The sequence below is a fragment of the Homo sapiens genome, chromosome 3 (genome assembly GCF_000001405.40).
Source record: "Homo sapiens chromosome 3, GRCh38.p14 Primary Assembly".
Lineage (NCBI taxonomy): Eukaryota > Metazoa > Chordata > Mammalia > Primates > Hominidae > Homo > Homo sapiens.
The window spans coordinates 81,660,236-81,674,554 of NC_000003.12; the positions used below are offsets into that span (position 1 = coordinate 81,660,236).

A 14,319-nucleotide genomic window follows, 5' to 3' on the forward strand; every position below is an offset into this window, starting at 1 on the left:
TGGATAATGGACTCAGGCACTAGAGGTGGAAACAGTGATGATGGGAAGAAACAGTGGTAAATAATAGGATTCTACACAATGAAGCTTGCTACTTTCATCCTTCCTTGTTCAGATATATCTAAATATTTAAACATAAATGCCCCCATCTTGTGTAGATAAAGCCAAGGCACAAGGCAGCAAACTTTGAGCTTGATCTCTAAATGTGACAACTCCTCTGGAAAAGTAGAGAAAACTACTGAATAAACTAGTGAATATAATTCAGTCAATAAAGCACAGGTCTGGGAATTACTCACCTGACCAATGAGTGAGGCATGGGGAATATTCGTAAGATGAGACGCAGTGACCTATGGCTGACCATTTAAAAAAAATTATATGTTCATGAGAACATATAATTTTCAATTTGAGCACTAGTCACGTGGGGAAATGTAATGCTACTGACATATTAGGATGGATAAAGATGAACATACTGAAGTGCAAAAAAAACACACACACATACACTGAACCACACACTTTAAATTGAAGAAAGTTAAACATTAATTTTGACATTTAACAAAAACTTAACTGTGATATTCAATAAAAGAACCCAGCTTAAATGTAAATGTTTAAATCATGAATGAGATTGTATAGTATGTACTTTATCAGGAGAAAAAGGTTATTTCCTGTAGGCATACCTTTATTCATCATTATTTGAAGGTATACTTGGTCAAAGTGCAAATACTTTTATTAAACATAACCAAAAATAATGCCCACCTAAACAGTCACAAACTGTAATTTTCTTCCTTTTTCTGGCACACCAATAAAAGATCAAATACCAAACAAAAGCTCTCTTGAAAAAAAATTGGATGACTACATAATTTAGAAGAAAAAAGCATGAAACATTTTTATTTTTTAAAAAAAGTATTTCTAAAAAAAATGTGAGAAAGTGTTCAATTTTCCAGATTTTATAATCATATTTAAAATATACTATGCCCACATTGAAGGAAGAAAGAAAAAAAGATGATAAAATACAACATATTTCACAGTACACAGATACAAGAAAAGTAAGCTTGCTAATACATTTAAAATATCTATGGAATCAATGTTTACATTAAGGGATCAATCAGGAAACAGAACTTTATGGACAGTATAATTTTTTAGATAATGGTGATTCATTTGTACAAGCATTAAATAAAACAGAGAAAAAGAATGCTTTTTATAATTATTTTTCTAAAATGTATCCCACAACCACCTGTCGCATTAAACACTTGTTGAGATTGATTTGTATACTCCGACGTGCCTGGAATACAAACATTTTCCCCTTTAATTCAGTAAGAAAATATTAGGCTTTTATATGTATCTTGGACAGCAGTTTTCAACCCTGAAAAGCAGTAGGAACTCCTGAGGAATATCTTAAAGATGCCTTAGACTGATTTCTAACCACTGCCACCATCCTACCAATTGTTCTTGATTCAGATTTTGTGACCTGCAGTCTAATGCTTTAGGAGATAAAAGCTAGACCTGAGAAGGTAAAAGACAGAGTAGCTACAAGTACCAGTGTTCCAGTAACAAAATGATAGATCTTTATTTTTAAAAAATAATAATAATAAATTATCATAAAGGAAAGAAAACATCAGGTTACAGGGAATATATTTCCTAAAACCCTGGTAATAATACTTTTGCAAATCAGAAATATTTCACAATAAAATTTGTCTCAATCTCTACTTTGCATTTTAAATATATTTATGTTTTAACAAAAATTTACAATTATATTTAATCCTTCATTGCCTAATCTTCCTACTAATTTATTCATTTTTTTAATTTTATTTATTTATTTTTAGACGAAGTTTCGCCCTTGTTGCCCAGGCTGGAGTGCAATGGCACAATCTCGGCTCACCGCAACCTCCGCCTCCCGGGTTCAAGCGATTCTCCTGCCTCAACCTACCGACTAGCTGGGATTACAGGCATTCCCCACCACACCCGGCTAATTTTTGTATTTTTACAGAGACCTGTTTTCTCTATGTTGGTCAGGCTGATCTCAAACTCCCCACCTCAAGTGATCCACCCGCCTCGGCTTCCCAAAGTGCTGGGATTACAGGTGTGAGCCACCGTACCCGGCCCTTCCTGCTATTTTATTATTCTCAAATAATAAAATTTAAATATCTTTATAAACTTAAGTTAATCTCACTCAAATCATTGAAGGCTTCCATGCTGGCTCAGAAATTTATCCATCGGTGGTCCTGAGCATACCTATGATTGTCCTTAAACTCACATCATTTACTTATGAAAAAGTTTCCACTATACTTGGGAATGCTGTCATAAAAGAGTCTGGTAAATTTACTCAAGCCTCTGATCTTACCCTGTTGTTCTAACCCATCAATATTTTTTAAATTTTGCAATTTCCATACTATGCATCACATCAATCATTTTGCCAAACATTAACAGTTTTGTAAAAAAAAAAAAAAAGAAAAAAGAAAATGAAAGTTACCAATGTTACTTTAAATGCCATTACTAAAACTTGATACTTTTCTTCTCAATACATAATTTTTATTTTAAAATTGTAGCAGATAATGGCTCTTTAGTCAGTCAAACTGCCTTTCTGCTTTCTTTCCTTGTATTAGAGAACATGGAAAGCTTAAAAATCACATTTTTCTCCCTCTCTTGCAGCTAGATTTCAACATGGTTAATGAACTCATATAAGAAACGGAAGGAAGAAGCAAGTACGTGAGGTAGATCATATAGGGATCAATTGGTTTTGCCTGAGAATGCAGAGTGATGCTTAATGTAATAAAATCCATTATCTACATAGTCACAAAGAGTGGAAAACTCAAAGATAATTATCGAGCTGATATGGAAGTGCTAGGAAGGGAAAAGTATGGTCCCTTTAAATAATACAGAAGAGGGAAGGGAAGTGCTGGGTAGAGAAAGCTGGGTCCCTGGCTAGGGCTCCACTCTCATGGACCTAGGTGAGGACAAGCACTCCTGCCCTTCCAGCCGAAATGTTGCATTTTCCAATACCACCCTGGCCCGCCAGGAACCATCATGGGCCTATAAAAACCCAAGACCCCAGTGGGCAGACACATAGGTGGCCAGACGTCGAGAGGACCACATCAGCGTAAGCAGCTGGAAGGCAGGAGGACGCGGAGGGGGCACGCCAGCTGAAGAGCACCCTAACAGACATCAGCATGCCCGCAGGCCATATACTGGTGGGACAAGACAGAGTTTGGCCGGGGCAATCTGAGGAGAGCCAGAGCCACTGAAGGGCCCAACTCCAGGGGAAAACCACCTCCCTACTAGCTCTGCCATCAGCAGAGAGCTACTTCCACTCGATAAAACCTTGCATTCATTCTCCAAGCCCAGATGTGATCCTATTCTTCCAGTATACCAAGGCAAGAACCCGGGATACAGAAAACCCTCTGTCCTTGTGACAGGGCAGAGGGTCTAATTGAGCTGGTTAACACAAGCAGCATATAGACAGCAAACTAAAAGCACACGGTAGCACACGCCCACTGGGGCTTCATGAGCTGTAAACATTCACCCCCAGGCACTGCCGTGGGGTTGGAGCCCCACAGCCTGCCCGTCTGTGAGTTCTCGCAGAGGTTTGAGCAGCGGGGCACTGAAGTAGTGAGCCACACCCCCATCGCGCGCCCTGTGAGGGGACAAGGGAACCTTTCCCATTTCAATGTCATCATTAATTAGTTCATGACACTAATAATTTCCATTTGTACCTTCCTACACATAATTATGTGCACATTCGGAATCAGCTTTTTCATGAGAAATAATCATAAAAAGGGGCTGTGCATAGAAAAAAAAATATTTTCTCCGTGCATTTGGTTTCAAAATTCAAATTTTAAAATTTATTTTTTATAAGCAGAGTTTATTACAGTTATGCAAAAAGACACAGAAGTTGGCAATACCTAGGAATGCTAGGGGCAGAGAGGATGAAGAGGAGGGTCAATCTGTATTTCAACTAAGATGAGAAGCAGTACTCTTTTTATGAAAAATAAGAAGAACATAATTTGACTTAACCTAGGACCTCATTTCAGAAGAACACAACACATCTGGAATATCAGAAAGTTTGGAATCAAAATAAGTTTGAGAGAAGAAGTGGAATAAGGTTCACATGAGCAAAGCTGGAGGCAGAACCTGGATTGAAGGCTTAAAGAATGGTAAGGAAATGACAGAGCCTGGAAAATTAAATGGCAAAAATAGAAAACTTGAATGTGTCAAAAAAAAAAAAAAAAAAACCTGCCAGCACTACGAAGACAAATAGTACAGATATGTCCAAACCTGAGAGCAGCTGGGCCTAAAACGCCCCAACATTTTGAAAAGAAAAAGAAAACCAACAAAATTTCTTCAGATGTTAAAATTATTTTTATATAATAACTCATTATTAATTTTAAAATGAGTTCATGTCTCAGGATCAAATGGAAAGAGGTGCTGCTCAGCTGAGAACAATGTGTTCATGAGATTGCTTATAGTTCTATTCACATGAACAGATATTTGCAAAAATCACCCACTGTAATTACCAGTGCAAAACATTACGGATTATTATTTCATTATTATTATCACTTCAAACCTCTCAACATGACTGTAAATGTGACTTCTTAAGTCAATGACATAGAATTGGCAATCACAAACTAACTATATTTAGCATAATGACAGAGTAAACCTTGTTTAATATAAGTATGCAAATGTCAATGGCATTGTTATTTACAAAGGCAACAAACAAAAGCCATCACCTGTATATTCTTCAATTTATATTATTTCATTACATTCTAGTTTGTATATGAAATAATGCCTATTCTGAGAGAATTTTTTAATTCAAAGGAAGTTTGCAACAGTGTTTCATAATAGTAATACACATTTATATATACACACATATATTCACATATATTATACTACACATCCATTTAATTTCTGTGGGTTGAAGTAGTGTTTCTAACCTCTTAGAAATGCTGATTAAATAAGTTCTTTAAGTAATTTATGAAAATTAAACAAATGAAAATTACTAGATTGATGTTAGACATGAGATTTGTTGGCCGGGCGTGGTGGCTCACGCTTGTAATCCCAGCACTTTGGGAGGCTGAGGCGGGCGGATCACGAGCTCAGAAGATCGAGACCATCCTGGCTAACACAGTGAAACCCCGTCTCTACTAAAAATACAAAAAAAAATTAGCCGGGCGTGGTGGCGGGCGCCTGTAGTCCCAGCTGCTCGAGAGGCTGAGGCAGGAGAATGGCGTGAACCCGGGAGGCAGAGCTTGCAGTGAGCCGAGATTGCGCCACTGCACTCCAGCCTGGGGGACACAGCGAGACTCCGTCTCAAAAAAAAAAAAAAAAAGACATGAGACTTGTTAAACTAAAATAACCTACTGTTAGCTCTTGTAAACATTTTCTTTCTACATTACATATAAGTGGTCTTCTTGGGATATGTTAATGGTTAATTTTAAATTTTAAATCTCAAGCACTTCTTTATAATCTGTAGGCAAAGTTACAAAGGAGTACACAGAAAAAACAAAAACCACATCCCGCAAAACACTCAACATTGTTGAACAATTTACAGGGTAAATTCAGAGCACTTCTATGACCCAAATGCAGGAAGCAGGGAGGGTAGAAAATGAACATTTTGTTCTTCTAAGCAGTGGTAATGAAGGTGCAGCCCTGATTTTAATACCTCAAGAAAGCATACAATTGTTATAAAATTATGTTAGCTATTATAAGAAACAGACTTGAGTGATCTAGAATGAGTATATTAATACATTTTATTTCTTTTTATAGTCGAATGCTTAGCCAGAATAAATGCTAATTTATACCTTGTAGACATCACTCTTATTAGTAATGGGTATGGACTTGATTCTTCAAGTAACTAACATAATAATGTACCTTTTGAGATTTGCATGATATATTAGGAGGGGTGCAGCAAACTGAAGACTAATAGGCACAGTATAATCATATTTTTATGATAATAAAAAGCATATAAATACAGGGAGGCAGAGGACAAGGGCAAGGACAGTTTACAAATGCCTAAAAACTGATGAGCAAGAATACCCATAAAATCTGTCAAGAGTGGATGGTAGCCTGGAGGGCCAGGCCATTAATGATTATAAGAAGGGCTACTTTTCTTTCCATATTTTTTAAATTAAGTCCTATTTTTTAAACAGACATTATGAATCATGTTGCATAATTACAGAAAAAGTAAAACTGACTCTCTTCAACTAAAAATAAAGGCATTTCAAATATCAAAATAAAAAGTTTTCCTGGGTTGAAACACATGTCAAATGTCCTGTTGTTTTCCACACATCCAAAGAAATATACATGTGCATATATGTATGAAAGTTTAACTTTTTATTAATGTAAAAAATTTCAAAGGAAAATCTATTCCAGAGAAAAATATTATTTTTCAATCTGTAAGTTCAGGAAACTATGTAAACTGAAAATATGAAAAGAACAATTTAAACTCAACCAAAATGCCATGCCTTGGCTTTCCAAAAGAGGGAGATATAACTTCACTGCCACAAACATATCAATGTGACACATAAATGATCTACTCAAATACAGAACTTATCTAGAAAATAATTTTAAGGAAAAACTCTAAATTATGTGTTTATTTTAGCCTTATGATTTTAATTGCCTAAAAAGCACAGTTAAATCTATGAAAAATATCATGATCTACAATAATAAAATGAAAGCTGTTCCAGCTCCTTTAGAGAGCTCAATTGTAGAATAAAAATGTGACAAAAGACTTATAGTATTTAGATTTTGAAAAATAGGTTTAGAGATGACAGATGTCAGCTACTAAAATTTGTACCTTCTGATTGTTATTTGAAAATTAAAATTTAATATTATTCTGAACTAGAGACAGAATGCTACTCATTTCTTACAATGATTATTAAAATTCTCTTATTTCCTTGAGCAGTGGTTTGTTGCTCTCGTTGAAGAGGTCCTTCACATCCCTTGTTAACTGTATTTCTAGGTATTTTATTCTCTTTGTAGCAATTGTGAATGGGAGTTCATTCATGATTTGGCTCTCTGCTTGTCTATTGCTGGTGTAAAGGAATGCTTGTGATTTTCGCACATTGATTTTGTATCCTGAGACTCCACTGAAGTTGCTTATCAGCTAAAGGAGTTTTGGGGCTGAGATGATGGGGTTTTGTAAATATAGAAACATGTCATCTGCAAACAGAGACAATTTGACTTCCTCTCTTCCTTTTTGAATACCCTTTATTTCTTTCTCTTGCCTGATTGCCCTGGCCAGAAGTTCTAATACTATGTTGAATAGGAGTGGTAAGAGAGGGAATCCTTGTCTTGTATCAGTTTTCAAAGGGAATGCTTCTAGCTTTTGCCCATTCAATATGATATTAGTTGTGGGTTTGTCATAAATAGCTCTTATTATTTCTAGGTATGGTTTATCAATGCTTATTTTATTGAGAGTTTTTAACATGAAGGGATGTTGAATTTTATCAAAAGTCTTTTCTGCATCTACTGAGATCATCATGTGGTTTTTGTCCTTGGTTCTGTTTATGTGATGGATTACATTAGTTGATTTGCATATGTTGAACCAGCCTTGCATCCCGGGGATGAAACTAACTTGATCTTGATGGATAAGCTTTTCTGATGTGCTGCTGGATTCGGTTTGCCCGTATTTTATTGAGGACTTTTGCATTGATGTTCATCAGGGAAATCATTCTACTCTAAAGACACATGGTCATATATGTTTATTGCAACACTATTTACAATGGCAAAGACATGGAACCAACCCTAATGCCCATCAATGATAAACTGGATAAAGAAAATGTGGTACATACACACCACGGAATACTATGCAGCCATAAAAAGAAATGAGATCATATCCTTTGCAGGGACATAGATGAAGCTGGAAGCCATCATTCTCAGCAAACTAACACAGGAACAGAAAACCACACACTGCATGTTCTCACTCATAAATGGGAGTTGAACAATGAGAATACACGGGGAGGAGAACAACACACACCAGGGCCTGTTGTGGGGTGGGGGTGAAGGGAGGGAACTCAGAGAACGGGTCAGTAGGTACAGCAAACCACCATGGCACACGTATATCTATGTAACAAACCTGCACGTTCTGCATGTGTATCCCAGAACTTAAAGTAAAATCAAAATAAAAAATGAAAATAAAGCTATATTAATCAAAAATAATAATAATTAAGATAACAGGTATACACTGGTACTGTTCAGGCAAAGCAGAATGTAGGGTGAGCCAGTAATAAAAGTACTTACTGTATCGAGTTCTTGTAATGAGTCAATGACAAAATATATGTAAATTAGTTAGCTGTCAATGGGAAACATTCAGTAAGTGGTAGCTGCTTATGTTGGTATTTTTCATGCCTCCTACTTGAGCTAACAAAGCAAAAAAATCGATGAGCTGTTTATTCTTATCTTTTAATAGATGATGCTGGGTCTAGTAATGAGGTAATGAGTGTTTAATAATATAATCATACAGAGCCCTCTTTGAGAGGGAAAGGAGCTTTATGTCTATTTAGTTATGTTTATTACAGTGATTCTCCACCAAAAGAAGGAAAATCTGTTTTTCAAATTTAAAAACTTGAAACAGCCCATCCTGCCTCTTCCACACACCTAGCTCCTTAGCTTGATAGTTACTTCCACAGGAAGCTGCTTCTACTGAGTGGACTGTGTCCTAGCTCTTAGGCTTATTGGAGCAGATAAAAATTAAAAATAACTCATTTATTAGATTATTTCCTTAAAGGCAGTAATTTTTAAAATTCTGATTCCCTATGCATATTACAGTACCAGGTACACAGAAGATACTCAACACATATTTGTTGAACTAGTGAAAATATGAATAAATAGAACTCGGCAGCTAAAAATCAACCTTATGAGGTGATAGACTGTAGTGTAACCCTGCAACCAAAGCTCCACTATGATTGGGAACTTTCCTCGGCTTCAACTAGAACATTTGAGGGTCACAGAATCAAGGAATTCAGAGATTTCACAGCTGCAGCTGGTGCCAAGGAGCTGTTTGCTATTTAGATTAGTTCTCTTAGTTAATTGATTGTAACAAGTAAAAACTCAGTAAAGTTAATCTGCCAATTATCTCAAAAAAATAAAAAGGAAACAGGCAGAAAAAATTCCTGCAACACTTTTTAAAAAGTAGTAAGTTCAGTTCTCAAAAAAAGTTCCGAACCTAAAACAAAGGTTAAAAAAACAGCCATTAAGACTTAAAGCAGCAATGAAAACAATAATAGTTGCCTTGCCACAGTTTCTATAAAATTAGCCCTTATAAACTATCGAAGAATCAAATTATTTGATTTACTTCTTCAAAGACTGAGTCTCAAAATGGCTTTAACACTCAATAAATATCTTTTGAGTGTCTACTCTGCCAGGCACTGTTCAAAGAATTGAGAGTATACAGGAGTAGGAAAAAAAAAACACACACACACACAGCAAAGGCCATGCTCTCATGGAGCTTATACTGACATGGAAAGGGGATTATTTATATTAAATTTTAATTCCTCTTATTGTATACTGTCAGTATTTTTCTCTTTTTCACTATAGATTAAAAGGAACCTTGACTGCCATCTCTTGCTAAACATCTTCTTATCCCAAACAATATTCTTCTCTGCTTACTATTATAATGTGTGGCAATATCTTATTAAATTTTACATACACTTATAATTTCATTATTTATAAAATATTTTTAACAACCTACAAAATAAACATACTGTGCATTTTGATTTAATATATTTAAGTAACTCTGAGTTAATATTGTTAAATAACAAATACCAATAAAAACAACTCAATCATAGGATTTATCATGGTAAATGTCTAAGGAAGGAAGACACAAGGGACATGGAAATATTATATAATTATATGACCATGGAGTAAAATCAAGTAAGTGTGAAAAGATTTAGATCGCTTCTCTTATAATCAAATGCCTTAAATCTGTAATCCAGACTTTGGAACCCATCCTTCAGACATCCCTTGATGAGACAAGAGCAGCCGACTCTAACTGCTCTGCAGACCTTGAATGCAAAACCACATGGTCAACGAAAGCAGAGGGAGTGTGGAGGACGCTCAGCCTGCCTCCAACAGGGAGACCCCTGGGCTAATTCAGGTGGCTTTATCACAGAAGAATATGATAAACAAGACCATACCACCAGCATGTCAGAGGCCAGAAAGAGGAAGAAGCAGAAGAAGCAGTCTCCAAAATGCATGCGCGTCCAACACAGCATCCCCTCCCACATCAATTTCACCCGACCTCTTTACAGATAAAAATCCTCTCTACATTGGCTGATTTGAAGACAGGTTTCATTTTTCCATTAAACTTTCCGTTTCCCAAGCTAAAGTTTTACAATTACTCAAAATCACTTTTAATATATCATTTCTTATATAATGTTTCCAAACTTGTGATAATAATACAACTAAGTTTGGTTCCTTACCAGCCAAACAATTCTAATCTAACCCAGTTCAACTCAAGACTTCCTCCTAAATTTCCCTCTATTTGTACATTTAGACTGTTTCTCCCACAATTATCATGCATCAGTTGTACATTCTAATAGTTTAAATCAAACTTGGCAAACAAGATAAAAAGAAAATGATAAGTTCAAGAAAAAATAGGAGGGAGGAAAGTACCTTTAATTTGGATCCATGAGGCACGAGTACAGATTTATTCTGCTTTGGTGGGATATACAGCTCCCATTTTCCATAATCCAGTTTTTTGTATGGGTACGAAAATGGATTCCAACCATCTAAAAAAATGAAGAAGATCAGTTAACAACAGCATGATAGGACTAATAGTTAATGAATTTCAAGAAAAACAAAATACTGCTTTACTTGCACAAAAAATCAAATTGTCTAAAATAATTGTTTTCTGAAGTGTTAATCAAAATACTAGTGGTTTAGAAAAGGCAGGTTATTCTTAATTTATTTATAAAAAATGCATTTTAAAGTGTGCTTTTGCATTTTATAATTAAATTAAGACTATAACATTTTCAGTTGTGGTTTCAACTCTAATACTTCTGTCAATAAACAGAATGCAAAAGAAAATGATGGATCCTTTTTTTAGAAAACACCATCAACAAAGAGACATATTATGAACAAACAAATGTACATGCCATGGTAGAAAAATAATGACAAACCATTAAAATCATATAACATTTACTGAATTTCATAAGAGTGTGACAGAGCTGACATAAAATCTAAAGAAATGCCTTAAGCAAGAAAGGTAGAAGGTTATATAAAGTATAGGAAGTAAAGAAAAGGTGGAATGCAGAACGTGGAAGAAAGTAAAACCAACAAGAGCAGACTCACACACACGACACTTAACGTATCATAAGGGAGGCATTAAAAACCAGTGAGTAAAGGACACACTATTTAATAAGTGGTGCTGGAAAAATTGGTTATCCTTATGAAAATAAAATAAAATAGATCTCCACCAACTAGTATGTCCCCAAATCATTTGAACATGGATTAATACTTATACATGATAGGCAGAACCATAAAATGCTTAGAAGAAAATACAGAGAAATATATTTACAATATTGGAGTATAAAAGGTTCTTTAAGTAAAATGTTTTTAAAACTATAAAACTTTTAAGACTGATAATTCTGACCATTAAAACTATAAACTTGTCATCATAAATAGATGAATCGATAGAATGACAAGACAAGCTATAAATTGGGAGAATACATTTGTAGTGAATATACCAAAAGAGAGAGAGCATCCATAATACATGAAGAACATTGTAAGTCAATGAGACAAAGAAAACAAATCAAGAGAAAAATTGATAAAAAATATATTCAGGAGAGGACACTTGAATGGCCAATAAACATGTAATGATACTCAAGCTCACTGTTTAATCAATCACAAATTAAAACAACAATAAGATATCATTTCGCACTCAGGACATTGGCAAAAATTAAAAGTTTAAAAATATCATCTAGTCAGCAACGATATAAAACATTGCTGCTGAGGGTATCATTGGTAAAAACAACTTGGTATCATATGTGATGCGAAATTGAAGATATCTTAACCCCACAGCCCGACAATTCAGCTCCTAGGAAATAGTTCAGAGAAATTCTCCTAAATGTACACAAGAAGGCATTCAAAATTATTCCCTGAAGAATCTTTTGTCATAGCCAAAAAACTGGAAGCTATCAAAATTTCAACAGCCACAATATGGGTAAAACCTTGTAGTATAATTAAACAACTGGATGCTATACAATGGTATAAAATGAATGGATTATAGTACCAACATATGCAAATATCCCACACACAAAAGTTAATTTTAAAAGAGTACAGAAGAATAGCATTTATATCAAGATCAAGAACTATCAAAACATTATATGAAACTTATTGATACATAGGTATGTAGTAAAAATATTAAATCAGAAATATGAATATGAAATACCAAATTCTATGGTGATTCCCTGTGGGTAGAAGAAAGGGAACACAAGAAGCTTCAATAATATCTGTATTATTTTTTGTTAAAGTGAGTTGTATACACATAGATGTTTATTACATTATTTACTATTTGTTTATGCCTAAAATATTTCATGGCATTAACAAAAAATCAAGCAGCCTTGTGGCATATACTGGGTCGCTAAGACATTACATTCTCAACTAAGGACATAATAAAGGAATAATCAGGAAACTCATTTTATGCCATTTTTTCTTCCATTACATATTTCACTCTTCTCTCTCAGCCAGTCTGAATACCGGGGGTAAAACAGGAGTAAGAAATAAGATTTAAATAAAGGTTCTTCTAAACAGTTACCTATTCTCCATCATGAAGACAACCTGAAAATGTCTAACAGCAGTTTATCTTCAAGGGCAGCTCTACAAGTTTGGTGCTGCTATACTCCTCTTCACCTAAAAACCTCAAATACATCTCACCTATACATGCTGTGACATTCCATTACCAAAACAAAGAGTTTAGTCCATAATTAGAGAAAAAATAATAATAAAAGCTTGGAATATAAAAATCTAGGTACTAGAACACTATATGATTCCTGCATTTCTTTTTAGCTAATCACTTAAGACAAGCAGCAGATCTTTTCCCGGTTAGGTAGAACTGAAAATAAAGGGTATAGTTCGTTAGTTCATTCATTCATTCATTAAATATGTACTCCGTGCTTAATGCAGGCCCTGTTCAATGCCAAACCAAATTTAGTGCTCTAAATTCGTCATATCTCATAAAGAAAAGGTTAAATTGAGTTATAATAGACCAATATAAATGAGAAAATGTACAATGGTGAATCCACTAAAAAATTTATTAAAAGATTTGGATATTTTGAAAGTGAAATTCAATGATATGTGAAATTTAGATATGCAGATTTATTTGTAAGAGCTGTTTTCAGCACTGTGAAAATGGTTTCCAATATCAGTTTTTGAAAATTGATGAACTAGTTCTTTAGCTTGGTATCAACTATTGTTTCAAGATTATTTAAATAAGCAAAGTATTAATATTTGATAAAGAAAAATACTTTAACTATGTCGCATTTTTCTTTTATAATAGTTTAATTATATAAAACTCCAAAGCACATGCTGATTACTTGTAATTATACACTGTAAAAAACTTTTTTTCTTTGCATCTTCAAGAGTTTCATTTTAGTAATGCCCCTTTCCTCATGGGAACTCAGGTGTTGGCTTTCGCTGCAGGTACTCTTTTCTTGCCAAACACAAATCTTTAAAGCAAGACTTAGAAAATCTTTACAATATTTACCCCCACCCAAAAAAATCCAGTACATTAGCCATCATAAACTATGTAGAGCATACTAAAGATTTCATATGGGAGAGAAAGAAGGTCTGCAAGCATATATGTATGAAACTATTTAAGACTTTTCCATTAGTCCGTTTTCTCTCCAAATAAATCCCTCTTCAGCTACCCCACCATCAGTTTTTCCATCTCCTTGGCTCTTTCTCCAATCATTGCTAAGCCCTAAATTCTCCTCTTTCTCATTCCTTTATTAGTGTTTCTTCTTTCCATTAAAAACATGGGCACCAACCAGAATATCCACTTCTACCACACTACATCACACAAAGGATTTTTTCCAATAAAACCAGTTCCTGCCTTATATGAGTTTCTCAAAATATCTAATAAAAACAGCTTTACTCCACAGAATACACATATCTTAATATCCAGAAACAGAATAATCAGGAAAATCATTGGATTTGGATCTGTGCTTATAAACTTAACATTAAACACTTAGCTAAGAAAGAAGGAACTATCATTAAGGTGTATCCAGGTGTAATTGCAGGAACCAATCATGGAAGCACACAGTTAAAAATAAATACATAAAATTCAACCTCAAATTATTGGTATAAAATACTGAAAATTGATTTTAAGTA

At 34.5% G+C, this 14,319-nt stretch overlaps 1 protein-coding gene across 2 annotated transcripts in view, besides 1 other annotated feature; it reads right to left on the reverse strand.

The window, feature by feature from the left end:
* Positions 1-14,319, reverse strand: part of GBE1 (1,4-alpha-glucan branching enzyme 1) — a 271,943-nt gene that overhangs the window by 170,533 nt on the left and 87,091 nt on the right. For both annotated transcript variants that reach the window (XR_007095662.1, NM_000158.4), the window contains exon 3: positions 10,603-10,718. Coding sequence is in view for 1 of the 2 variants with exons in the window: in NM_000158.4 (NP_000149.4) it covers positions 10,603-10,718 (116 nt within the window). In the remaining variant the exon portion in view is untranslated. The remainder of the gene's footprint in view (positions 1-10,602; positions 10,719-14,319) is intronic.
* Positions 3,331-3,830: an enhancer, noted in NCBI's record as "H3K4me1 hESC enhancer chr3:81712717-81713216 (GRCh37/hg19 assembly coordinates)". NCBI's record gives its function as "activates a minimal SCP1, AML or CMV promoter by ChIP-STARR-seq in primed H9 embryonic stem cells {active_cell/tissue: H9 hESC(primed)}" and the evidence as "EXISTENCE:reporter gene assay evidence [ECO:0000049][PMID:30033119]".